Here is a 26,815-nt window from a genome sequence, read left to right as displayed (position 1 = left end):
AGCCCGCCTAGGCTGCCCAAAGTGCTGAGATTAGAGGTATGAGCCACCGCGCCCGGCCTTCATTCGTTTTTAATTCCTTTTGTATAGTCATCCCTCAGTATCCATGGGGGTACTGGTTCCAGGACTTTCCATGGATACCAGAATCCGAGGGTACTCAAGTCCCTGATATAAAACAAGATGGTTATTTGCATATAACCTACACATCCTGCGTAATTTAGCCATCTAGCTCTAGGTTACTGGTAATACCTAATACAATGTAAGTACTATGTAAACAGCTGTTATACTTTTAACAGCTGAAGTCTGTACATGGTCAGGAAACAATTTTTCCCAATTGTTTTTGATCCAAAGTTGACTAAATCCATGGATGTGAAACCCAAAAAGGAGGGCCAGCTCTGGGTCATGTGGTAATTCCATGTTTAGCTTTTTAAGCAGCTGCCAGACTTTTCTACAGCAACTGCAACATTTTACATTACCACCAACAAAGTACAGAGGGTTCCAATTTCTCCATATTCTTATTTTCCATTTTTTGGATTAGAGCTATCCTATTAGGTATGAAGTGGTATCTGGTTTTTATGTGCATTTCCCTTATGACTGACAAACGCTGAAAACCTTGTGTGAGATTTGTAAAAATTTTTAAGCGTCCTATAAACAATGCTTTTTTTTTTTTTTTTTTTTTTTTGAGACGGAGTCTTGCTGTCACCCAGGCTGGAGCGCAATGGTGCAATCTTGGTTCACTGCAACCTCCGGACTGGGTTTGAGCAATTCTGCCTCAGCCTCCCGAGTAGCTGGGACTACAGGTGAGTGCTACCACACCTGGCTAATTTTTGTACTTTTAGTAAAGTACACCACGTTTTCACCAAGTTGGCCAGGCTGGTCTCAAACTCCTGACCTCAGGTGATCTGCCTGCCTTGTCCTCCCAAAGTGCTGGGATCACAGGTGTGAGCCACTGCCACCATGCCTGGCCTAAACAATGCTCTTAAATGCATTAAAATACAGGTTCAGAGATTTTTAGAATTTGTACATAAACCCAGTGAAAAGTGAAATCTGTCACAAAGCACTTTTTTGAACACCGATCAATTATACTTTCCTGAACATCTGCTTCACATCTCCAACTTTAGGGTAGCTGTGGGTGGCTGGCACAGACTAAAAGGAAGTTGACAAACACTGATGGTTTGGGAACCTTATTTTTTAAAGTTTTTCTCCTTTTTAAACTTGTATTCTTTATGAGAACTTGTTCTCTCATGCTCACTCCAATGTTTGCAGTTTTCTAAGTCCCCTTCTTCTTGGCTCATTACCCAGTCCTCCACTTTTACTCTCCATCCTATTTAATATTATTTAACTATAGTTCAATAGTATTTTTGTATCACTCATTCAGACTAGCTAAAATAAAGCTATGTATCTTAGTTAAAAGCCAAAATTTGATGATCTGGGAAAAAAAAGCCTGTAGTGACACACATTGGAGATGCTTTGTAATTAGTATATTAAGGAGACAATACATTTCAAGAATTGCTTAAATTCTGATACCCAGATTTAAGCATGTGAACATATGAGACTTTTAAACATACAATTAAAGCTATTCATCATAATTTGCTATACTACCAACATAACTTTGGAGCGAAAGTCAAATGGTTTAAAGTAATCCTGTAACATACCTAAAGAACACCTTCCTATATTACGCATGCAAATTCTCCACGTAAAGGTCTTTTCACTTTAATTTCTGTTACCCAGCTCTGAAGTCACTACTTGGGCTTATCATGGTCCACAGACAAGGAGGGGAGCAAATGACCAGGACTGGTCAAGATTATATATATATATGTATATATATATGAATGGCACAGCAGAAGGAAACACAATTCTGGAAGTGCAAGCCTTCAAGAAGCAGCATATTATGATAAACCCCTCCTACAGAAAGGTATCATTTTTATCACTGATACCACAGGATAAATTATATATTACGCCATCTTCAAGTAACAGCTGAGGCAACAGAATAAATGCAGAGGCATTACAATGAATCCCACTTAATATAAAGAACTATACAGACCAACACTTCTCTACAAAATTTTTTTTTCCTCATTGCCAGTTAAATACAGAGTTTTACTTTCATAGCTTAACAATGAAGGGTCATACACTGAAGCCAATACATATACCTAGCATTTCAGTCTAAGCTTGTCCACGTACATAGCTGAAGTCAATTACAAGGTTTGGCCTAGAAATGCTAGGGGAACTTCTTTGTAGTTTTTACAGGTATTAAACTTCATCTTGCACACTGAAGTCATCATACATACAGGGCAAAATCAGAGCTTTTATATTTGCGTTTATTCTTCATTTAACTTTTTAAAACACTACTATAGTTTATTAAAACAAAAACAAGAGCAAGTAGTGAGCATATTATGATTACAGTCCTTCACTCATTCACTACTGCACATTAAATGCCAGCAGTGAGTGTTATTCACTGGCCCATTAAGAGGTCTGACACTGAACACCACCTCTGGGATGATGTTCATCATCCTCATATGCTTCTCCATTGTAGTGGCGCCGTCTTTCCTGATTTGGATCAAAGTCCACCAGTTCTACTTGGTCCATCTCATCAGTCTCTTCCACTTCCTTCCTCTCGGGTAGGAGTTTTTCCAGCAAAGACAGTTTATCAGGAGAGAGAAAGCCATTCTCAGGAAAGTTTACCTTCAAAAGAAACTTTCACTGTTCAATCTGATTTCATCATTAGCTCCCTTAGAGTATCATGGACCCATTTTCCCCAGAAAAACACATGTAAACACGTAATATTTAGGTGAATCTGCCAATCTCAGGTTAGAACAGGCTCTAAAAAGGCACAGTGCATAGCACACTCTGAACTAGAGTTCAAGGATTATGACCAGAAGTCAGGCTTTATTAAAAATGATTGTATTAAATAAAACTGCACTTTAACAACCATTGTTCTATCCAGCAAACTGACTTTTTAATACCAAAACCCATCCTGCAACAGCCTAACCCTTCTTACGACATATTTAAACAAAGCTATTCTTACTCTCAAAAGGGTAGTTCTTCCTTACCAAAGATGTTTTTAGGCCAGGCGCGGTGGCTCATACAATTGGGATTACAAATCCCAACACTTTGGGAAGCTGAGATGGGCAGATCACCTGAGGTCAAGAGTTTGAGACCAGCCTGGCCAATATGGTGAAACCCCATCTCTACTAAAAAGCCCAGCGTGGTGGCGGGCACCTGTATTCCCAGCTACTCAGGAGGCTGAGGCAGGAGAACTGCTTGAACCCAGGAGGTGGAGGTTACAGTGATCCAGGATCGCACCACTGCACTCCACCTTGGGTGACAGAACAAGACTCCCGTCTCAAAAAGGAAAAAAAAAAAAAAAAGTTTTAATTAATATTTTTATGGTGACAGGCCAATTTAAGACTCAGGAAAATGACTGGATTGCTTTATACCTATTAACAAATCAAGCATTACACTATTTTGCCAAGAAATCTGCAATTATTATAAAGCACCTCTCAACTTTAAGATGCCAGTTACAACCTTTCATTAGTAAAATACCCACTTGTCCCACACACCCTTCCCACAACCTATCTTTAAATATCCAATTAATGATGCAAAAAACCCCATCCTCAACTTGTTAACAAAGAATGCTCAACATGACAGAAGTAGTTATTAGGTAAATTTTCTTTTTTCTTTTTTTGAGACAGGGTCTCATTCTGTCACCCAGGTTGAAGTACAGTGACACGATCTTGATTCACTGCAGCCTTGACCACCTAGGCTCAAGCAATCCTCCCACCTCAGCCTCCCGAGTAGCTGGGACTACAGGTGTGTGCCACCATGCCTGGCTAATTTTTGTACTTTTTGTAGAGATGGGGTTTTGCCATGTTGCCCAGGCTGGCCTTTAACTCCTGAGCTCAAGCAATCCACCTGTCTTGGCCTCCCAAAGCACTGGGATTATAGGTGTGTGCCAGTGGCACGTGGCCAGATCCATATATTTCTTGCTGTGGAAAAATGTAAGTTTCAGGTTCTGAGGCATTCAGAAATTTTAATTTTTTTTTTTTTTTGTTTTTTTAAAGAGACAGGGTTTCACTATGTTGCCCAGGCTGTTCTCAAAACTCCAGGGCTCAAGGGATCCTCCTGCCTCAGCCTCTCAAAATGCGGGGATTACAGGCATGAGCTACTTGCACCTGGCTGAAATTTTACTTTTTTATCAGATTTTAGTAAGCCAATTGTTCTCAAGTATTCTTAAAGTACATTACAGCTTACCTTAAATTCGATGATTAGGCGACCCTTTTCATATGGTCTACGATAAATTGGCATGCCTTCATTTAGTACACACTTGATATCTCCATGCTTGACAATCTGACCTAAAAACATTGAAGCCAAGTTCTTCCTTAAGTATGGTCACATTTTTATGAGGCAGGGAATATAAAGAACAGAGCACTGTCCTAGCTCATTGGCAGGAGTAAAACTTACGTGGCAAAGCAATCCTGTTACCTTTCACTTATGGGTTTTCCAAGGGCTGACAAGAGAGCCAAGACCTTATAACTTCATCTAAGCCCAGAGAAGGATATGTAACCGAGAAAGAAAAACAATGGGTTTCCCTCAGTGCCTATACTACACTTTGTTAACAGGAGACAAGGAAAATACTAGAATAGAAAAGAGAAGTTTAAGCTTGCCTAGTTCCCATACCTGGATGAGAGGTGATGACGATGGTTCGGTTGTCAAGAGTAGATATTGGCTTCTGGAAGCCACACAGTGCTTCAACGAGCTGTATGTCCATACACATGAAAAGGTCTTCTCCTCGTCTGCATAAAATATGACACATATTTATATTTTTCAAATCACGAATCAGTAGATGTACCAAAGCAGGCTGTTTTTTTGTTTAATAAAAGCAAAGGGTCTTTTACAAAGACACCCTTTTCTTCCCCCATTGTAAAAATCAAGCAGAGCAGAGATCTGGGAAGAGCAAACATGTGCAACCTGCCAGCCCCGTTTCCTAGTTAAGGATTCAAAGTCATTCCACACACTCTAGGCAGCCTTTACCATTTACCATCAGTGAACTGTTTCATTACCTAGTTTTAAATCTGGTTTCTCAGAGGGGAAAAAAAAAAAACAACTCACAAGAGTGAGGGTTAGGCCAGGCACTGTGGTTCGCATCTGTAATTCCAGCAGTTTGGGAGGCTGAGGAGGGTGGATCACCTAAGGTCTGAAGTTCAAGACCAGCCTGGCCAACATGGTGAAACCCCATCTCTACTAAAAATACAAAAAATCAGCCAGGCATGGTGGCGCGCACCTGTAGTTCCAGCTACTCGGGAGGCTGAGGCAGGAGAATCACTTGAATCTGGAGGCAGAGATTGCAGTGAGTTGAGATCGTGCCACTGCACTCTAGCCTGGGCAGGGTCCTAGATAATTTAGGCTCTATGAAATTAAACAATGAGGATATGTCCAATTTAAAGGGACTCTAACAATTTCCTCATTGATGAACCTGAAATAATATTTCCTGGCATATTGTGAGTGAACACAGCCTTTCATATTTAACGTTAACAGCCCACTTCCTCCTTCTCATGCTTAGACTTTCCTTTTCCAACCCACATTAATAAAACATCTTTAGGCTGGGCGCGGTGGCTCATGCCTGTAATCCCAGCACTTTGGGAGGCCGAGGCAGGTGGATTGCCTAAGGTCAGGAGTTCGATACCAGCCTGGCCAACATGGTGAAACCCGTCTCTACTAAAAATACAAAAATCAGCTGGGCGTGGTGGTGGGCGCCTGTAATCCCAGCTACTCGGGAGGCTGAGGTGAGAGAATTGCTTGAACCTGGGAGTTGGAGGTTGCAGTGAGCCAAGATCTCACCATCGCAATCCAGCCTGGGCCTGTTGAGCGAAACTGCATCTCAAAAAAAATAAATAAATAAATAAAACATCTTTAATACCCTTCTCAAATGACAGCATCAAAAGCCTGAGCTTGACAACATTTCCCATTATCTTCAGACATTTGTAAAATATTAGTCTTTTTTTTTGAGACCAAGTTTTGCTCTTTTTGCCCAGGCTGGAGTGCAATGGCGCCATCTCAACTCACCGCGACCTCTGCCTCCTGTGTTCAAGTGATTCTCCTGCCTCAGGGCCTGCCACCATGCCTGGCTAATTTTTTAATTTTTAACAGAGATGGCATTTCACCATGTTGGCTAGGCTGGTCTTGAACTCCTGACCATCCACCTCGGCCTCCTAAAGTGTTGGGATTACAGGCGTAAGCCACCAAACCAAGCTGAAATATTAATTAATCCTAAACTAGTTTAAGATGTTCCCAATTTCACCTCCACTCCATTAAAAAAAAAAAAAAAAAAAGGTGGGTTCTTACTGTCACCCAGGCTAGAATGCAGTGGCATGATCATAACCTTGAACTCCTGAGTTCAAGCCACTCTTCTGCCTCAGCCTCCCCAGTAGCTAGGACTCCTGGCCTCAAGTGATCCTCCCACCTCAGCCTCCCAAGTTGCTGGGAATATAGCATGCACAGAGGGTGTTATGTTAGCCATGGATCACAAACATTTGCTGTTAATCATCCATCTTTCTTGTGCTTCAGTGTTCATCATACTCATTATTTAGCTCAAAATGGTAGACCTGAATTTATACTTAGTATTGAGTTACAATTTAAGTTTCCTACAGAGATGCTTTTGGATATTTATAATTAAAAGCAATTCAATTTATCATAAATGAGATTGAAAACTGGTGAGAGCTTTAAGGCACTTAAATTGCTTTACAAAGATTGAGGGCAAATTTTTGTCCAGGGATGTTTTCCCCACCCATCTGCTGCTTAGGTTCACACAAAACATCTAATTGAAACACATTTTCAACGTTCCATACTTAGAGACAAAAAGCTAAAAATCTGATCCTATGTATTCAACCTCTTATGATCTGAACAATGGTTAACAATCTTCCTGAGAAATAGGTTCTAAGAGTAATGGAAAACACTTTAAAAAAAACAAAAAAACAAAAAACAAAACCAACAACCCAAATATGTGATATCAATTTGAGTGGTTGATAAAAGTCTTTACCGAGTAAAAACAGCATGGTCCTTCTGATCTAACACAATGATAATATCGCCTGGCTCCAGTCCTGGTTCTTGGTCTCCTTCACCATGGAATGTTATCTTCTGGCCATCTTTCATGCCTAAAAACAAAACATTAATTTTGTACTTTTATTAAATATCCAACTAAGGTCAGAATCATAAAATCTATACATAGATGTTTGTTTATGCATAAAAATCACAGAAATGACTAAGAAAGCCCACTTAAGTAGTTCAGTCCAATTTGCTCCTGAAGAAAGGTATCATAGTGGAGAACACAAACTCCAGAGGCAAAGAGACTAGCCTTCAAATCTCAGAGCTGCTATTCACTGGCTGGATTACCCTGGGGAAGTAAGCTGCATATCCTTTCCAAGTTTCAACTTTCCCACAGACACCTACACCTCATTAGCAATATTTAGAGTATTAACTCAACAGGTATATGCTGGTACTAAACCATGACTGGCTAACACTGGTTATAACCAAAAAATGTTAATTAAGTATTTCAGTTTCATTACTTATAACACATCAAATTACTTCTATTAAAAGTCTAACAGCAATGTAAATCAAGACCCTTCTATTGTAGTATTTATATATAAAACTAAAAAAATTTTAAATCTATAATCTTCTCTTGAGATAGGATCTTGCTCTGTTGCCTAGGCTGGAGTGCAGTGGCACAAACATGGCTCACTGCAGCCTCCATCTCCTGGGCTCAAGTGATCCTCCCACCTCAGCCTCCCGAGTAGCCAGGACCACAGACCAGCTAATTTTTGAATTTTTTTTTTTTTAATAGAGATGGGGGTTCTCATGTCGCTCAGGCTGGTCTTGAACTACTGGGCTCAAGGGATCCTGCCTCGGCATCCTATAGTGTTCGGATTACAGACCTGAGCCCCTGTGCCTGAAAATCCGTATTTTAAAGAACTATTCAGTATAGTCCCCTTAAAAAAAGGGTAATTATACTTTGAGAGGCCGAGTCAGGAGGATACCCTGAGGATAGCACCCTGGAGCACAGGAGTTCCAGACCTTGTCTCATTTAAATTAAACAAGCAAACAAAACAATCAGTGCTAGACACTCCCTTAGCCCATGTGGTCCGTAAAATACAAGGGGAGGAGTATTTTCTAACAGGGCAAAAAAACACGCCTTTTTTTTTTTTTTTAAACTGAGACTTCGTGCCCCTCACCTCTGACCCACATATTTTAGTTCAGTAAGGGTTTGGGCAACGTCTCTTAGAACATAACTCATGTAAGAAAACCTGTGTTTGTAGAGTATTACACCAAAGCAGTTATCTCCTGATTATTTCCCAAGATCACTCTGGTTACCTAACAGAGCAATCATGTTTCACCTTTACGTATGGAAAATATTAATCCTGTATAAACAGAGCCAACAGTACAATGAATTCCTACATATCCATCCAATTTGGCTTCAGCAGTTACTAACTCATGACTAATATTTCATGTATTACACCCCTACGCATGCCCCCCACATATACTTTCAAGCAAACTCCAACTATATCCATTAACCCACAAATACTTCAGTACGTACCTCTTAAATAAGGACTTAAAGCGCTATCAGTATCATACACTGACAAAATTAAACAATCTGTCTTTAATCGTGTATTGAGGCAAAATAACTTGTTATGCTAGGGAAGCAATTAAACTCAGCTAGGTTTTCCTGAATACAGAGTAAGAGTAGGCACAGCACAAATGCCTTCACTTGCTATATAGTTAGGGCATTAATTTCAAGTTCTCACTTACAGTCCATTGTTGATAGGTTCTTGGAAATTGCTTTAAATGAAATGACACATAACAAGACCAATTTTTTTCCCCTCAGCTGTGTTACAGTGACATGACATTATTTGAGGACCTGCATGACATTATTTGAGGTCATTCTGCTAGAAGTCCCAGTTTCCAAGAACCTATCAACAACGTTAAGACTTACTCTGTATGCTATTGGTATCAAGAACACCTCAAAGTATAAACCTTAGGCATGGGCCCACTAAGGGGTAAACACAGATTTATTAAGTTCAACAACTGGCCAAGGAAACTTATTTTTACCTTTCAATGTACTACATTCTTGGGTGGAACCCTGGGGGTCAGAGAGGCCAGTATCATGAGTCACATGATAGAATCCTATTGCAGCCACTTATGTTAATGTAGATTTGTATATTAATATGGAAATATGTTCAAATATTAACAGTTCCAGATTGGTATCATACCACAGTACAGTATAATAGTAGACCCATTTATAAACAGCAAAATCTGAAAAGAGATTACCATAATGTTGACTTAAGTTTCCTTCTGGGGTTATATACATTTCTTAAAATTTCTGCAGTGTATTGCTGTAATACATTTTAAAATGTTTTTGCAAGTTGACAAGAGTAAAATTTAAAAATTGACAAATCAATCAAATCCCGAGAATACAAAAAAAAGGTTATATAGTTATTTCTAAATCTGGAGCCCAATGGGTTAGGGAAGTGTCAAGTCTAAAAAAATGAAAGGTAGTCTATCAAATCAATTAACGGAGCATTTAAATATAATAGATGGGCAAGTAAGCCAATTAAGTGGGCCAATACGCTTATTTAAACTAGCCCAGGCCAGGTATGGTGGCACACACCTGTAATCCCAGCATTTTAGGAGGCCAAGGCAGGCAGATCATTTGAGGTCAAGAGTTTGAGACCAGCCTAACATGGTGAAACCCCATCTCTACTAAAAATACAAAAAAAATTAGCCAGGTGTGGTGGTGCACACCTGTAGTCCCAGCTACCTGGGAAGCTGGGGCAGGAGAATCGCTTGAACCCAGGAGGCAGAGGTTAGAGTGAGCCAAGATCGCATCACTGCACTCAAGCCTGGGCAACAGAGCAAGACTCTACCTCAGAAAAAAACAAACAAACAAAAACATGCCCATTGGTTTAAAAAATAAACATGAGGCGGGGTGCGGTAGCTCATGCCTGTAATCCCAGCACTTTGGGAGGCCGAGGCAGGTCATCACCTGAGGTCAAGTGTTCGAGATCAGCCTGGCCAACATGGTGAAACCCCGTCTCTACTAAAAATACAAAACATTAGCCGGGCATGGTGCTGGGTGCCTGTAATCCCAGGTACTTGGGAGGCTGAGGCAGAAGAACTGCTTGAACCCGGGAGGCAGAGGTTGCAATGAGCTGAGATCGTGCCATTGCACACTCCAGCCTGGGAAACAAGAGCGAAACTCCGTCTCCAAAAAAACCATGAATTTTTATGAGACCCAATTCTTCACCTAACTCCCCTTTCAAATCCTTAAAAGTATGCCTATCCCTTGATCTAGTAACTCCTAATTAAGAATGTGTACAATTCTAATGTTTTAAAAGATGGAAGAACTATGGTTTAACAGGAGAGAATTAAGTTTGGAACACTATTCAATCATTTACAGGACCACAGATTTCAAAAGATGATCCTGTTATATTAAATGAGGAGATTCCTAATATATTCTGTATTAGTAATATACCAATGTGCAAAATTATGTCTGGATAAAAGAACATTATTTACTAAGCTGCTAAGAGTTATTTCTGATTGATAGGATCATATATAACCTAATTAAGAATGATTTTTAAACAATTATAAAATGTTAATAATAAATCTGCCACAGCATTCAAGACTTCAGAATAAGTAACTCAGAACTCACCTTTGTCAATATGAACTTCTAAAATTTTCTTCTCTCGAACTATCTTCCTTCCGTTGCAGCTTTTACATCTATCTTTAGGACTGATCCGCTCCCCATGGCCCTGGCACTCCATGCACACAGACTGAATTTGCTGAACCATTCCAGGTCCTATCTGATGAATTCTTATTTGCATTCCAGTACCTCGGCAATTGGGACAGCACTCTACTGCTCCTTTCTTACCTCCTCTACCTAAATTTAAAAAGAAAATTAAATAATGTATGAATTAGTAGTGTATACAGTAGTAAATGTTTTAAGAAGACAATTCCTAAATGCTATACTTTTAATATTTTCGAAGCCTGATGGAATGCTACCCTCTGAATGTACAACTGATGAGATCATTCCAATGAGTTTCATTCTTATTAGAACACACTTTCCAATAAATTTTACTTATTACAAAAAAGATACCAAACTAGCTTGATCCCAACTGTATTTAAAATATACACAGAAAAAAGTGCTGATATTTCTTTAGGTGGGAGGTTTTCAGTTGGTTTTCTTCATATCTGCCCTCTCCTCCCCCAAAATCTAGGTAGTGTACATGAATCAATTTTACATATCTATCTAGAAGTCTTAGCTCCATTTTCAGGTGTCATATTAAAGGTGCTTAAAAACAAAACAAAACAAAACAAAAAAACACCGTACCTTCACATTTGTCACAAATCACATTCTTTTGCAGAGCCAGTTTTCTTGTTGCACCATTATATAAGTCTTCTAGGGTTACTGAGAGCTGATGTACAACATTTTTACCTAAAACAAAATATTTCTCATTGCAAATCTGTTTAAGATGCTGGATCTTATTTGTGCTAAAGGCACTATAAAGAATGTGGCAAAGAATAATAAAAGATGAGCCTCACAGGGTACATCTGTTGACTACCTACTATATACACAGAATGTTCACGTTATCACAGATGATCCTCAAACTGTGATGTAATCACAGATGAGGGAAAATCAGGTCAGAGATTAAATATTTGCTTAAGGGCACAGACGTGGCCATCTTGGAAATATGGTAAGCAAAAGCATTACCTTCAAAGTCACTTGAGAAAAACCAATGTTATTTAAAAGGGCACATTTCACAATAATCCAAACATTCATTTCTGTCACAATATATTTTTTGAAGCTTTCACTTCGTACCGTATTGAGCAACATGGCCAATTACTTCATCCAAAAATTCTGTAGCACAGTAAATTCTCATTAATCAAGATTGGCCAGGGAAGCTGATGTATTTATTGAGTCACCACAGAAGAGTATCAATTTCTACTTCTTCCTGATTTAGTAGAAAACAGCCCATTTACTGCTGGGCCAGCACTGGTTGTTTTGAAGGCCAAATTTCTCATACCTTTTATAATAGCATTGCCCAACAGAACTTTCTGCAGTGATAAATGTTTTATATCTGTTCTGTCCAACGTAGCAGCCACCAATCACATGTGCTTATTGAGCATGTAAATGTGGCCATTTAGACTAAGAAACCGTATTTTTGTTTTTGTCTTAAATTAATGGAGCCACACATGGCCAGTGGCTACTAAGGAGTGCCTTACTTCACTTAAATCAGAATAGGAAATGGAAGGTCAAGATCTCATAAGGACACTGAGGTTAGAAGTATGAAGTCACCTGCTAGTAAGTTAGTAAGTTCCTAACTAGTGGTCCTTCCACAAGGACTTATTCACAACAATATTATTGCCTTTCCACCAACTGAAAAAAGTTCTCAAACTCGTTTCTGTACAATATGCCTAATGAACATTTTAACTTTCTAATCAAGCATGAAATACCATTAATTATGTCCTTCTGCTTATAGTTCCACCTTTAGTTTTGGCACGCTAAAATCTAGCTGCCCTTATTTTGAACAGTGTTGAGTATAAGGAAGGAAAAATAAAGCTTCTAGAGCTTGATGAAGCGCATTTCCCCAGAAATAACCTCTCAATATGATCATAAGCCACATAAAAGAGCTTGCCAATGTTAACCTGCAGGTTCTTTGTAAGGTAAGTGAAAAACCACCACTACTTTTTTGTGGACAAATTCTAACAATTTACTAAGCAAGTCATTTGGATTGTGGACTTTCTTTTTAAGGAGTTTAAGTATCTTAATAAAAACATAATCCTTTCCTTGAAGATCTTTAAAGAAAAACTGAATAAACAATTTCCCAAATCTTTCTGAACCTTAAGAAGCTCAAAGTGAAATTTAATGGCTTGGCCATTCATTCTAAAACTGGTTCTGCTCATCAGCCCTTATTTGTATACACTATACTGGAAATAAAGTGAGACTGATTTCTCTTGAACATTTTACTCCTATAAGCAGTATTTCTAGAGCCCATAGGCCACTTTCCTGATAAACATATTAAATACATAATTTTGACACAATAAAGCTGAAACAAGAATAGATAGATGGCAGGCAACGAACCAGTTTTCAGCCCTGGCTCTGTTGGCTTGCTATATGAGCTTGAAGAAGTTTTAGGTTTCTGAACTTTAACTTACTCCCATTTGAAAAAGGCCACTGTACCTACCATCAAATTCCTTTGGGGAGTGAGGGAACACCAAATAAGATCTGTAAAAAGGGCTTGGAAAATTATATTGCTATATACTTTGTCTTTTTTTTTTTTTTTTTTTTTTTTTGAGACAAGAGTCTCGCTGTGTTGCTCAGGCTGGAGTGTAATTGGGCGATCTCAGCTCACTGCAACCTCCACCTCCCGGGTTCAAGCGACTCTCCTGCTTCAGCCCTCCTGAGTAACTGGGATTACAGGCACGCACCACCATGCCTGGCTAATTTTTGGATTTTTTTGGGTTTTTTGTGACAGAGATTCACTCTTGTTGCCCAGGCTGGAGTGCAGTGGCGTGACCTCCGTTCGCTGCAACCTCTGCCTCCAGGGTTCAAGCGATTCTCCTGCCTCAGCCTCCAGAGGAGCTGGGATTGCAGATGCCCACCACCACGCCCAGCTAATTCTGTAGTTTTGTAGAGATGGGGTTTCACCATCTTGGCCAGGCTGGTCTCGAACCCTGACCTCAGTGATCCACCCACCTCGGCCTCCCAAAGTGCTGGGATTACAGAATGAGCCACAGCACGCGGCCTGTTCTCATAATTTGTTTGATAATATCTAAGATTTTTGGAAGCAGTCATTTGCTACCACTCTGTTGGCTATTTTTTAGGCCCCTTAAATCTCATTTTAAAAAAAGCGACACCACTGGCTGGGCATGGTGGCTCACACCTGTAATCCCAGCACTCTGGGAGGCCAAGGCAGGTGGATCACCACCTGAGGTTTGCAGTTCAAGACCAGCGTGACCAACATGGTGAAACCCCATCTCTACTAAAAATACAAAATTAGCCGGGTTTGGTGGCACATGCCTGTAATCCCAGCTACTTGGGAGGCTGAGGCAGGAGAATCGCTTGAACCCGGGAGGTGGAGGTTGCTGTGAGCTGAGACCACGCCATGGCTCTCCAGCCTGGGCAATAAGAGGGAAACTCCGTCTCAAGAAAAAAAAAAAAAAAACCACAACAAAAAAACACGACACCATAAATCAGAGGCAATTTGTGGTCAGTTTGCAACATTATACCAACATGTAAACAAGCATTTAAAATGGGTGATTTCTCAAAGATCTGCTCTGACCAACAGCTAACTTTAGTTAGCTGCACAAAGACTAGATTCTTCTTACCTCTCCTTTCTCTCTGCATCCTTCCTCCTCCTCCAAAAAACATATCAAAGATGTCCATGGGGGAGCCAAAACCGCCACCTGCTCCACCCTCTTTAATTGCCTGTTCTCCTCCTTTGTCATATAATTCCCTTTTCTTTGCATCAGAGAGAACTTCGTAAGCTTGAGAAATCTGTTTAAACTGTTTGAGAAAAGAGGAGTGAATTTCATTTTTTAAAAAACAAGTGTTACCTAGCTACATTACACTTGATCTTAGCTAAAAAGGCCGAGAAGTGATCATAGTTACTATATTAGATACTCGATTTCAGGCCATAATAGAAATACTATACGTCTGGCAAAGAACTATTCAGATACGTTTAAGAGTAGATACTATTCACCTTCTCTCCTTCATTTGGGTTCTTATCAGGATGGTACTTCAAAGCCAGTTTCCTATAAGCCTTTTTCAATTCTTCCTGAGTAGCATTGGGTTTGACCCCCAAAACATCGTAGTAAGTTGTTTCTTTCACCATCTTCTACTGCCTGAAATAAGAAAATGCAACTTTAACCGGCTTTCAACTGGTAGCTTTTAATAAAAAAGAGAGCTAAGGCCGAGCAATCTCTTTGCAAAATCCGATTATAAGAACACCACCTTCCCTAAATTTCACCAAAAAGGTAACAATTCCTGCGATAATTCAGCTATAAACTCGAACAGACAAAACAAATAATCATTATCGGGAAATAATCTGAGAGCCGCCTTCTAGCAGCTGGTTCCAATTTTCCTACACCAAAGCTTCCATACTAATATAACACAACTATTATCTGGATTCTTCCCGTTTGCCCTAGAGGCGGTGACAGTTGTAACCAAAAGAAGCACTGATATGTTCAGTCTACCGGTCATTACACTATCACTGTCTTTGGCAAATCTGATAAACTCCATATACTCTCCAGAAAAAGACGTCTGGGCACACAGTGGTGGGGGGGAGTGGTTTATAGAACAGGTTACTGGCTCCACACAGCAAGCCCTCCACCGCCCACGGCTTACAGCTTCTCCAGCCGAATCCCTCTCGCCCCTCAGGCTGGCAGAGTTTACCTGCCAGGTTTCCCCTTGCACTTGGCGCTGACCGATTTCCTTCCTTTCTCCCTCCCACCCTGGACCCAAGTGGCGGTGGGGAAAGCCCAGCCCTCAACAAACAAAGGGAGGGGAAACAGAGAAAGCGAAACCAAAAGCCGCAGTCTCCGCCCGGCTCCCCCCGCAGCCCCTCGCCCCTGCCTCCCTGTGCGCGTGCGCAGGGTCGCCAACCCCACTCCCCCCCCCCACCCCGAGCGAGCACGGACGGGGAGGGGGGCCGCGGGGGCGCGCACGGAGGGGCAGCCGAAGACAGTAGCTCCTTGGAGATCCCAGGCTGGGGAAGGAGGGAGGTCTAGGAAAGGTCTCGGGCCCATTCACTGTGCGTGCCGGGGATGGGTTGCCAGGGCACCACACCAGCCCTCCAAAAGGGAAATCGTGGGCCCAGGAACTGACAGCGGTCCTACCCACGCGGCCAACTGCCTCCCGACCGCGGCTCCATCGGTTTCCCGGCGCCAATGGCGCCAGCCAGGGGACTAGGGGCAGCGCGAGGGCTCAAACTCACCGGTGCGGGCTGAGGCCGGTGTGTGAGGGAGCGGGAAGGAGCGCCGAGCTGTGCGCAGCCGGGGTAGTTACCGCTCCTCCGCCTCTCACCGAGCGTTCTGGAAAGTTCCGCCCGGCGCGCCGCAGCCGTCCTCTTTTGTAGCCGAACCCGGGCGCGTCACCCGCCGGAAGTCCCGCCCTTCTCGGCCGCTGCCACCGCCCCGCCGTTACCTGGGCAACGGCGCGGGGGCGCACGGGTCGGGAGGAGCTGCGCCGAAAGGCCTTGTGGGTGTTGGTGCTAGCGCGGCTTCCCGGCGCTCGTGGAATCTTCTGGAGCCCTTTTCTCCACTCAGCGAGCCTGAGAGTGCGGAAGTCTCCGGCTGGTGGGGCATGGCCCAGGAGCACTGCAAGTCCTAGGGTTCCCAAACCTGTGGGGTGGCCGCCTGGGCCCGCGAGGGCGGGAAGGGCTCGAGTACAGTGACCCAGCGGGAGCTGTGTGTGAACGGGAAAGCTCTTGGAACAGTCTTGCCCCCCCCCCCCCCCCTCTTACGGGCGCCTCTTCTCTTTTTGGGAACGTGGCGAGCAAAAAATGCTTGAGCCAGGTGGGTCTAGTCCCCAGACCAATAGCATAGGCCTTGGGTCTTGCTGTTTTTCACGCGTGGTCCAAGGCGGCATAATTAATCAAATTGTGAAGTTGTTAAGGCTTTTTGTGCAAGTCCAGGCCCCTAGACACATGTTATCTGCCCTGGACCTCGCTGATTCGTGCAGATTGAGCTCAGTGTGTCTGGGACTGAGCTAAACAGTGAGACGTTTGGACCGTCTTTGATGTACAGAGGGCCGTGGACTCCTCTGGTCAGGTTTTCACCCAGTTTGGCTACAGAGTAGCCGCAAGAGTGTCTGACTAAAACAATTTGTTTAATTATTTGACCTCACTTTTAAATCCTACGGGTCAGGGAACCTGGATGTACAATCTGCAACGTAAGACCTCGGACTTGAAAATGGTACCACGGGGGCTTAATGGGAATTGGGGTCCGCTTCTTTATCCAGGGACACAGCAGGTATGTCAGTATCTAGCACCAAGAAAGATGGAGTTTGCCACGCTCGGTGGCTCACGTGTGTAATCCCAGCACTTTGGGACGCCAGCGTGGGCTGATTGCGTGAGCTCAGAAGTTTGATACCAGCCCAAGCAACATGGTGAAACCCCGTCTCGATTTAAAACAAAAACAGAACTGGAGATGCAGAGTTGAAAAGCCCCAGTTAGACTTTAGTGAGAAGCCAAACAAGTCAACAGACTGCCAGAGAAACCATGAGGTAGAAGTCAGTAGGGGAGAGCCTCCTATATTAACCTGATAGATCAGAGAGAATTTCTTTGGGAAAGTGGCAATTGAGCTGAGTTTTGAAAATGGGAGGAGAGCAGTGGACAAAGCACAGGGGAAGGCTATACTAAGGTGTGGAAGAATATGATGTTTTTAGGAAATTGCAACTAATTGGATATAGCCATAGCTAAGGGAGCTAGAATAGCCGGAGGTGAGGCTTCAAAGCTAGTTAGGGCATGCCTTTGTCTGTTGGTATATATGCTACGCTAAGAATTTTGAACTTTATCCTTGGAAGCATCCTCATGCTGCCTCTTCAGCCTTTTCTCTTTCATTAATTTTAACTGTGCATTCCAGTCACAGAACTATCCGCAGTTTCCCATATACGCCTTTTCACCTTTGTATGCTTTTGCATTGGCTGACAGACACCTGATTTTTTTCAATCTTAGGTGTTGCCTTCTCAAGTATCACCTCTGGTATAAAGTTTTTTGTTTAAACCAACCGTTAATAAACGTCTAATATTACCAGGCAGTGTACTAGGGCTTTGTAATACAAAAATCACGTAAGTCAGGCCGGGCGCCGTGCCTCACACCTGTAATCCCAGCACTTTGGGAGGCCAAGGTGGCGGATCACCTGAGATCCGGAGTTCTAGACCAGCCTGGCCAACTTGGTGAAACCCTTCTCTACTAAAAATAGAAACAATTAGCCAGGTATGGTGGCACGTGCCTGTAGTCCCACCTTCTCAGGAGGCTGTGGCAGGAGAATCGCTTGAACCTGGGAGGCGGAGGTTGCAGTGAGCAGAGATGGTGCCGCTATACTCCAGCCTGGTTGACAGAGCAAGACTCTGTCGAGTCTCAGAAAAAAAAAAAAATCACATAAGTCGTGGTCCCTGCCTTCAAGGAGCTCACAACATAGGGAACCAGAAACAAACAGTTGAGTGTTAAATGCTAATAAAGGAAGAGTAGGGGGTGCATGGTGGCTCAAGCCTGTAATCCCAGCACTTTGGGAGGCCAAGGCAGGCGGATCCCTTGAGTCCCGGAGTTTGAGACCAGCCTGAGCAACATAATAAGACCTCGTTTCTACAAAAATTAGAGTTAGTGTGGTGGTGTGGGCCTGTACTCCCAGCTACTTGGGAGGCTGAGGCAGGAGGATGGACCTGGGAGGTCAAGGCTGCAGTGAGTGGTGATTGCACCACTGAACCTCAGCCTGGACGACAGAGCAATACCCTGTCTAAAAACGAAACTAACAAAAAAGTTAACACTTTTAAGAAGCATTCTTACGTAAAATAAAATAAAAAAACTGGCAATAACTTTGTATGTGGTCTTCGTTTGTACAGAAATGGGATCATTATACAAGCTGTTTACAGCTTGCCCTTTTCACTTTGTCATCTTACTATGCCAGGATAAATAACTAATCTGCCTTGTTATTTTTAATGGCGTAGTATGTAGGCACCGTAATTTATTCCCCTACTGATGAATATTTCAGCAATTTCCAGTGTTTTACAAACTGCTGCAGAGAAATTAGCAAATACAGCTTTGAGTACTCATGCAAGTATTTCTGTTGGATGGACAGCTAGAATTGAAATTGCTGAGTCAACATGAATGTAGATTTAAAATTGTAATAAATAAGTTTCCATACTGGTTTGTAACTGCTTCCAGCAGTGTGTGAGTGGGCCTTGCCAATATGAGGGCCTTTTGTTGTTAAATCTTTGCTAAGCTTGGAGATAAAAAGTGATATCTTATTGTTTCGAGTTTCTTTGTTAGTAAGTTTAACCATGTTTTAAATGTTTACTGACTCTCCTGTCAACTGTTCATATTATTTTACCATTTTTCTGTGGTGTAATTCCACTATTTTAATAATAGCCCTTTTAGGGGTAGATATTAGTCTGTCATGTGTTACAATTGTTTTCTTTAGTATATTCTTCGCTTTTTACTTAGTATCTATATATATATTTTTCGGCCATATAAAGATTTTAATTTTTATGTAGATAAATTGTGACTCTTCCTTTTTGGCCTTTTTCTTCTCTCCACCTTCCCCTTCATCAGTCCAGCATTATAAATATAAATCTGTTGTCCCAGGTTTACAGGTTAGGTCTAGTACTTTCATTGTTTCCCTTTTTTTTTTTTTTTTTTAAATTAACAGCCTTGATGTGTTGCCCAGGCTGGCCTCGAACTCCTAGGCTCAAGTGATTCTCCTGCCTCAGCCTCTTCAGTACTTGGGACTACAGACACCTGCCACTGCATCTGGAATCATTGTTCCATTTTAAACTTAAATTTTTTATTCCATCTGAAAGTTATTTTGGTGTAAGGACTGAGGATTATTTGTAAGTAACTGATCTTTATTTTTCTCCAAATGGCAAACTAGTTTGTCTAACACTAATCTTATTTTTCCTGACTAATGTGAAATCCGCCCCCCAACCTTTTTTTTGTATGTGCAGAGATAGGGTCTTCCTATGTTGCCCAGGCTGTTCTTGAACTCCTGGGCTCAAGCAGTTGTCCTGCCTTGGTGTCCCAAAGTGCTGGTATTATAGGCGTGAGCCACCACACCTGGCCACCACTTTTAATGTATACTTAATTTCCACTGAAATACATGGTACTACTTCCCTTCATTGTTCTTGCTTTTTAGAATATTCCTTGTATTTTTTTTAATATGTTTATTCTTCCAGAGGAACTTAGGAATATTTCTGGCAGATTCCCCCCAAATCCCATTGTGAGTTTTATTGTGATTACAGTGATTTTATATATCAGTTTGGAGAGAATTAACACATTTAAAATGTCGAATCTTCCTACTCATGAACATATAACTGTATATTTATTTTCTTCATTTTTTAAACTAGGTCTTCATCATTTCTTCTTAAATGTGTTACTAGGCATTTTTTGTTGTTGCTGTCATGGATGGCCTCTTTTCTTACCATTATATTTTATTTCAGTGGGATATTTCATACTTTCTTTTTTTTTTTTTTTGAGACAGAGTTTCTCTCTTTTTGCCCAGGCTGGAGTGCAATGGAGCCATCTCGGCTCACTGCAGCCTCCGCCTCCCAGGTTCAAGCGATTCTCCTGCCTCAGCTTCCCAAGTAGCTGGGATTACAGGCATGTTCCACCACGCCTGGCTAATTTTGTATTTTTTAGTAGAGACAGGGTTTCTCCATGTTGGCCAGGCTGTCTTGAACTCCCAACCTCAGGTGATCTGCCCGCCTCGGCCTCCCAAAGTGCTGGGATTACAGGCGTGAGCCACCACGCCTGGCCAATAACTCAATAACCACATGGCCGTAAGTGTTCATAGAGGTAGCTGGAGATGGCTGGAGGCCTGGCAGGAGCAAAGTAATAAGGGCTTGGGCATTATGCTAAAAAGTTTGAATTTTGTTTTGAAGGCTCTTGAGAGACACTGGAGGATTTTAGGGATGGGGTGATATAACCTGTGACAGCTGACTTTTTGTTTCTTTTCTCTTTCCTCATCTGTTCTTTCTTTTGTGAGGACCTGCCAGGCACTGCGCTAAACACTCTACAAACGTTGCCATATTGTTATCCTCACAGTAACCCTTGTTTTAGAGCTGATTTGATTACATTTAAATTTCACAATAATCACTTGGGTGCTAATGCGAAGGTTGGATTCTTAGCAGGTTTTTATGGTGAGCGATGAGATCAGAAATGATGAGGCCTAAATAGAAGAAATGGAGAGGGAGAAAAATAAACACAAATATAAAAACATGTAAAGTCTTCAGGTAGAGTCATGATGACTTGATGCAGAGGTAGGGAGGAGGAATGACTTCCAGCTTTCTGGCTTTAGCAACAGGATGGTTGGAGATCCCCTTCCTGGGGTAGGGAGCCCAGAAGGAGGAAGAAGCCAGGGTAGGAGCAAAATTGGGTGAAGGAAAAGGTGAGTCCAGGTTTGAATGAGTACAACTACAGCTATACTTTTTTCTTTAGTTTACAAAGAAAAGGAGTCGGAGCCAGGGCGGTTATGTGGGACGTGGATGCAGACGCAGGCGGAGGCGCCAACTGCGGGGATGGCTAGGGTGATCACAGCTGCCCCGGGGGCGCGGACACCCCGGCAGCTCCGGCCAGCGGAGCTCCCCCACCGCACGTGTCAGGTCCTAGCAGAAACGCAGCGTCTGTGGCCAAGGGCCAGGAATGCGGCCGCACATATTCACCCTCAGCGTGCCTTTCCCGACCCCCTTAGAGGTGGAAATTGCCCATGGGTCCCTGGCTCCAGATGCCGAACCCCACCAAAGGGTGGTTGGGAAGGATCTCACAGTGAGCGGCAGGATCCTGGCCGTCCGCTGGAAAGCTGAAGACTGTTGCCTGCTCCGAATTTCCCTTATCAACTTTCTCGACCATCTTTCTCTGGTGGTGCGGACCCTGCAGCACTTTGGGCCCCCAGTTTCCCGCTAAGCCTGGCCTGGGAAAATGGGGCGAGGTCTAACCTTGCGTCTCCTCCTAGGCAGTGCATCCATCCTCCCTAGGGCAGGGAATTCCCACAGTTGCTACTTTCCCGGGAGGGCCTCATGGTCGGCCTGTACTGCCTTTGTGTGCTCAGGGGTCCCTTGTTTTCTCTGGTTCTTAAATGTTTGTTACCACAGAAAATAAAACTGAGCTACTATTAAAAAGAAAAAAGAAAAATTTTTATCGGCACAAAGTGGAAAGTAAATCCTAACTGAAATGCTATTTTTTATGTTTGTATAAATTAATTTAAATTTCTTAGAATATTTAGTTTTTAATTAACTGGGGCCAGACTTTTATTTATTTATTTATTTTTTGAGTAGCACCAATTTGTTGTGGTTCTTCTCTTCTGACTACGTACAATTTCAGTCTTTTTTATGAACTCTCTCCTTCATTCCTACCCCCACTCACCACCCTTCATTTTTTTAAACTGAACTTTATATTTAAGAATAGTTTTAGATTTGCGGAAAAGTTGTCAGGATAGTAGAGTTCCTGTTATTCCGCACTCAGTCTTAACCTATTGTTAAAATTTACATTAAAATGGTACAGTTCCCACAACTAATGAATCAACGTTGATACATTATTATTAACTAAAGTTCGTTCTTTATTTGGGTTTCTTTAATTTTTCCCTTTTCTGTTCCAGGATCCCACCAAGGACACCACATTACTTTGAGTTATCATATCTCTTTAGTCTCATCTTGACTGTGACAGTTTCTCAGACTTTACTTATTTTTAAGGACCTTGACAGTTTTGAGGAGTACATATCTTTCTTTTTGAGATGGAGTCTCGCACTGTTGCCTGGGCTGGAGCGCAATGGCGTGATGTTGGGTCACTGCAACCTCCGCCTCCCAGGTTCCAGCAATTCTCCTGCCTCAGCCTCCCCAGTAGCTGGGATTACAGGTGCCTGCCACCACGCCTGGCTAATTTTTTGTATTTTTAGTAGAGATGGGGTTTCACTATGTTGGCCAGGCTGGTCTTGAACTCCTGACCTCGTGATCCACCTGCCTCGGCCTGCCAAAGTGCTGGGATTACTGCATAAGCCACAGTACCTGGGGAAGTACAGTCTTTTTTTTTTTTTTTTTTCTGAGACGAAGTCTTGCTCTTGTCCCCCAGGCTGGAGTGCAATGGCACAATCTCGGCTCACTGCAACCTCCGCCTCCTGGGTTCAAGCGATTCTCTTGCCTCAGCCTCCCGAGTAGCTGGGATTACAGGTACCTGCCACCACGTCTGGCTAATTTTTGTATTTTTAGTAGAGACGGGGTTTCACCATGTTGGCCAGGCTGGTCTCAAAATCCTGACCTCAGGTGATCCGCCCACCTCGGCCTTCCATCGTAGTAGAGATGGTGAAACCTCATCTCTACTAAAAATACAAACATTATCCAAGGTGTAGTGGCACGTGCCTGTAGTCCCAGCTACTCGGGAGGCTGAGGCAGGAGAATCACTTGAACCCAGCAGGCAGAGGTTGCAGTAAGCTGAGATCGTGCCACCGCGCTCCAGCCTGGGTGACAGAGTGAGTCGTCTCAAAAAAAAAAAAATTAAATAAAAAATAAAATTTTGGTTTTCATTTCTGACTCCTGGCCAGAGGTCCTAAAACCGTTGAAATTTCCTAAGTGATAAGAGTGAAAGTGGTATCTTGTTATTCATAACAAGCCCCTTTCAATCACATCTGAGATTATATTAATGAAGTGACTTTTGGAGAGCCCGAAAATGGGAGGGGGGGGGGGGCGCTGGTTGCTAGGGCAACTAACCAAGTGATTAGAGGATTGGAACTTTCAGCCTCACACTATGACCTCCAGGGAGGAGAAAGGGGCTGGATATTACCAGTGGGCAATGGCCTAATCAATCATGCTTACCTAATGAAGCCTCAATAAAAAAACCCTAACCAAAGGAGTTTGGAGAGCTTCCAGGTTGGTGTTGGAAGGATTGAGCTCCCGGAGAGGGCCTTGAAGGTCCGTATCCCTTCCCCAAACTGAGAAATGTAAGAATTATTTCTAAGTTCTGTGAGCTGTTCTAGCAAATTATTGACTCTAAGGCGGTTGTGAGAACCTCTGTGCTGTGGTCTGAATGTTTGTGTCCTATCAGAATTCATAAATTGGAAATCCCCAAGTTGATGGTATTCAGAGATGGGGCCTTTGGGAAGTGACTACGTCATGGGATTAGTGCCCTTACAAAAGAAACCCAGGAGAGCTTGTGAGTCCCTTCTGCCATGTGAGGACAGCTCTGTCTACAAACCAGGAAACAGGCCCTCACCAGACACCCATTCAGCTGGTACCTTGATCCTGGACTTTCCAGCTTACACAAATGAGAAATAAGTTTCTGGTGTTTGTAAGCTACCCAGTTAATGGCATGTTATAGCAGCTCAAATAGATGAAGACACCCCGATTCATAGCCAGTCTATCAGAAGTACAGGAGACCCTGGACTTGCTATTGGTATCTTAAATTGGAGGTAGTCTTGTGAGACTGAGCCCTTAACCTGTGGGATGTGCAATAATGTTGGATAATTAGTGTCCACACTGAATTAAATTGTAGGATACCCAGTTGGTATCTGCAGAGAATTAGAGAATTGTTTGGTTTGAAGCCCCTCCACCCCCAACATTTGGTTCAAAGTATTATGAATAGAGGAACAGTTTTATTTGTAGGCAAAGATTTTTGTCTGTTTTGTTTTATAATATATCGCAAGCATCTAGAACACTGCCTGGTACAGAGTTGGTACTCAATAAATTATGAATGAATATGCATTTTGCCAGAATTTGTGCCAGGTACTGGGCATATAGTTGTGAAAAAGCGGAGATGGTTCCTGGCCTCTTAGAACGTCCAGCCCAGCACTACACAGTCTGGTGATTTTTCTGCCTGCCTGGGCTGCCCTCCTCTAACATCAGAGTGCCTAATTGCTGAGCTCAGAGTAGACTTTCCTCTTAGCAGTGAGTACTTTTCAGATAGTTTTGTTTTTCTGCTTTTTTTAATTCTAAAAAAATGGGGGGGGGAGTGTAATGCATTCTATTTAGTCACTCTAAGTTAAAAGTCCACAATTTTCCTCAATACAGAGACAAAATAGTGTTGTCTTTAAAGCTCCAGCCTGGTAGAAAGCCGAAAGAAGTCGTGAGGTACATTCAGTTTACTTTTTCTTTCCTTTATTTTTTTAAACCTAAAGGAAGATGGTTGTAATGTTTTATACTACCGAAGAGTGAAAGGATATGCAGTAAACATGTTTATTGCTGTCTTTTTTGTAAACTGGATTGCTCATTTATGAGATCCTGACCTATTTCTTGAGATCTTCTGTGTGCTGTTTGTTGAAATGAATTTTTACATGGCTAAAACGCTTAAGAAAAAAAGCTAAAATTGAGTGTATTGAGAGAGTATCTGCTGGTTCACCACACTTCAGATGTTGTGTCAGCAACAATACTTTCTCTCACCCTGTTCTCACACAGGCAATCACACCATCACGGGAAACTCCAAGGTTGGGAATATACCTGAAAAGTGGAAAGAATTCGGGAAGAATACTGCTGCACAGATATGAGACTGAACAAAATGACTTTTAATAGCCCTTCAAAATCTCAGACTCTTGGTCTAGATAATACGAACTCCTAGATACCATTTGGCAACGTTTATTTAAAAAAATTCAGTTGATAACATTTTGTGTATATACATCTTCTAGATAATTATTTTAATTCTTCACCTCACCTTGTCAAATGTATTCTAACTTAAGTTTGATATTTCATCTGAATTTCCTTCCCTGCACAAAAATTCAGATGCGGATATGAATTGTTTTGCCCCATAATCTTGTTGTCAGAAAAAAATTGATGAAGGGAAACTCTCATGGAAATAGCTTTGATTAGTTATAAACAACTTCAGTGTGTCCTATAAGCCCATGATATGACATCAAGATCTACTCTGTAAGATTAAAAAAAAGTTTTCTTGCATGCATGTGGCAGCAACCTTGTTTTAAGATTGGTGTATTGTGGCATTCTCAGCAAAACACAGAACAAAAGAAAATACAGGCCGGGCGTGGTGGCTCACACCTGTAATCCCAGCACTTTGGGAGACTGAGGCAGGCAGATCATGAGATCAGGAGTTCAAGGCCAGCCTGGCCAACATGGTGAAACCCTGTCTCTACTAAAAATACAAAAATTAGCAGGGCATGATGGTGTGCGGCTGTAATCCCAGCTACTCGGGAGGCTGAGGCAGGAGAATCACTTGAACCCGGGAGGTGGAGGTTCAGTGAGCTGAGATCGCGCCATTGCACTCCAGCCTGGGCAATAGAGTGAGGCTCCGTCTCAAAAAAAGAAAAGAAAAAATACAACTCAGGCAATGACCCTTATGCAAGATCTTCTCTAATGCCTTTGATAATTTATAAGGCGTTATTATTTGTGTTCCCACATCACGCAGTGTACACACTTCCATCATAGCATTTGTGCAGATGTGTATAATGTATTATAAACATTGAAGGCAATGCTTTCATCCAGAAGGGTTTACAGCCACTTCCAAGGATACAACAAACAGAGACAATATACCCCAAGATGCCATACATTAAAAGTGTGGAGAATGAAAAAAATAAAAACACGGGTAGTAACAAAATGGAACCAGAGACAAAGCTAAAAGGCATACAAGAATGACCTTCACATTTGATACAGCTGGGCCATGAATTTGTCTCTAAACTGACAACCTCATTGGTCCCACAATTCATGGTATCTGAAGATAAAACATCAATCCAGTACTCTGGAGAAGTAAAACTATTCCTAGAATGGAGATCAGATTGGAATGTCTCCCAGGGATGCTTATAAAGAGCACATTGTGTTATGTGAGGAGCAGTGTCCTTGACAGTATCCCTGACCGGGTGACCAGTGTAGAGGGATGCCTCTGATGGCAGCACAACAAAGGGCAATTTGCTGAGCTACAGCAATACTTCTAGGGTGGAGGACTGTCTTGGTGATCATGGCTTAGCAATGTTTTATCTCCAGCACCTAGTATAGTAATTGGCATATAGCAAGTGTCAAGAAGTGTTTGTTGAGTGAATGTCTAACGGACAAGACCCAGTTTAAGGGCCCCCTTTAGGGCGGCTCCCCTGATTACCAAAACCTGATGTCCTGCTCCCCAGCTATGCATCC

General features: G+C 42.3%; 2 protein-coding genes, 1 long non-coding RNA gene and 1 pseudogene across 19 annotated transcripts in view, besides 8 other annotated features; 3 read left to right on the top strand and 1 right to left on the bottom strand.

The window, feature by feature from the left end:
- Positions 1-1,456: 1,456 nt before the first annotated feature.
- Positions 1,457-16,091, bottom strand: DNAJA1 (DnaJ heat shock protein family (Hsp40) member A1). 2 transcript variants are annotated; one of them, NM_001539.4, is made up of 9 exons: positions 15,981-16,091; positions 14,748-14,889; positions 14,374-14,551; positions 11,375-11,479; positions 10,697-10,924; positions 7,034-7,148; positions 4,675-4,790; positions 4,249-4,349; positions 1,457-2,679 (listed from the first exon to the last, which is right to left on the bottom strand). In NM_001539.4, the coding sequence occupies exons 2-9, from the start codon at positions 14,877-14,879 to the stop codon at positions 2,461-2,463; spliced, it is 1,194 nt and encodes a 397-aa protein (NP_001530.1). In that variant the 5' UTR covers positions 14,880-14,889; positions 15,981-16,091; the 3' UTR covers positions 1,457-2,460. The 2 variants fall into 2 exon arrangements, with proteins under 2 accessions (NP_001530.1, NP_001300968.1); NM_001314039.2 differs by lacking the exon at positions 14,374-14,551.
- Positions 15,441-15,510: an enhancer, noted in NCBI's record as "active region_28268". NCBI's record gives its function as "activates an Ori minimal core promoter by ATAC-STARR-seq in GM12878 lymphoblastoid cells {active_cell/tissue: GM12878}" and the evidence as "EXISTENCE:reporter gene assay evidence [ECO:0000049][PMID:35858748]".
- Positions 15,441-16,061: a biological region, named in NCBI's record as "H3K27ac hESC enhancer GRCh37_chr9:33025301-33025895".
- Positions 15,467-16,061: an enhancer, noted in NCBI's record as "H3K27ac hESC enhancer chr9:33025301-33025895 (GRCh37/hg19 assembly coordinates)". NCBI's record gives its function as "activates a minimal SCP1, AML or CMV promoter by ChIP-STARR-seq in naive H9 embryonic stem cells {active_cell/tissue: H9 hESC(naive)}" and the evidence as "EXISTENCE:reporter gene assay evidence [ECO:0000049][PMID:30033119]".
- Positions 15,611-15,750: a silencer, noted in NCBI's record as "silent region_19830". NCBI's record gives its function as "represses an Ori minimal core promoter by ATAC-STARR-seq in GM12878 lymphoblastoid cells {active_cell/tissue: GM12878}" and the evidence as "EXISTENCE:reporter gene assay evidence [ECO:0000049][PMID:35858748]".
- Positions 16,031-16,180: a silencer, noted in NCBI's record as "silent region_19829". NCBI's record gives its function as "represses an Ori minimal core promoter by ATAC-STARR-seq in GM12878 lymphoblastoid cells {active_cell/tissue: GM12878}" and the evidence as "EXISTENCE:reporter gene assay evidence [ECO:0000049][PMID:35858748]".
- Positions 16,031-16,333: a biological region, named in NCBI's record as "Sharpr-MPRA regulatory region 3987".
- Positions 16,039-16,333: an enhancer, noted in NCBI's record as "tiled region #3987; K562 Activating DNase matched - State 1:Tss". NCBI's record gives its function as "activates a minimal TATA promoter and a strong SV40 promoter by Sharpr-MPRA in K562 cells {active_cell/tissue: K562}" and the evidence as "EXISTENCE:reporter gene assay evidence [ECO:0000049][PMID:27701403]".
- Positions 16,244-26,815, top strand: part of APTX (aprataxin) — a 52,505-nt gene continuing 41,933 nt past the window's right edge. For 8 of the 16 annotated variants that reach the window (NR_160922.1, NR_160927.1, NR_160928.1 and 5 more), the window contains exon 1: positions 16,244-16,560. The gene's annotated coding sequence lies outside the window, so the exon portion shown is untranslated. The remainder of the gene's footprint in view (positions 16,561-26,815) is intronic. The other 8 variants (NR_160926.1, NR_160923.1, NR_160929.1 and 5 more) reach the window with 2 other exon arrangements.
- Positions 16,656-17,251: an enhancer, noted in NCBI's record as "H3K27ac hESC enhancer chr9:33024111-33024706 (GRCh37/hg19 assembly coordinates)". NCBI's record gives its function as "activates a minimal SCP1, AML or CMV promoter by ChIP-STARR-seq in naive H9 embryonic stem cells {active_cell/tissue: H9 hESC(naive)}" and the evidence as "EXISTENCE:reporter gene assay evidence [ECO:0000049][PMID:30033119]".
- Positions 21,211-21,859, top strand: LAGE3P1 (L antigen family member 3 pseudogene 1; annotated as a pseudogene).
- Positions 23,113-25,630, top strand: LOC124902139 (uncharacterized). The gene is made up of 2 exons (XR_007061453.1): positions 23,113-24,814; positions 25,139-25,630. It is a non-coding gene; the product is annotated as an uncharacterized LOC124902139 (long non-coding RNA).

This window comes from Homo sapiens, chromosome 9, assembly GCF_000001405.40.
Source record: "Homo sapiens chromosome 9, GRCh38.p14 Primary Assembly".
Taxonomy (NCBI): Eukaryota; Metazoa; Chordata; class Mammalia; order Primates; family Hominidae; genus Homo; species Homo sapiens.
This window is presented reverse-complemented; position numbering and strand designations above follow the sequence as displayed.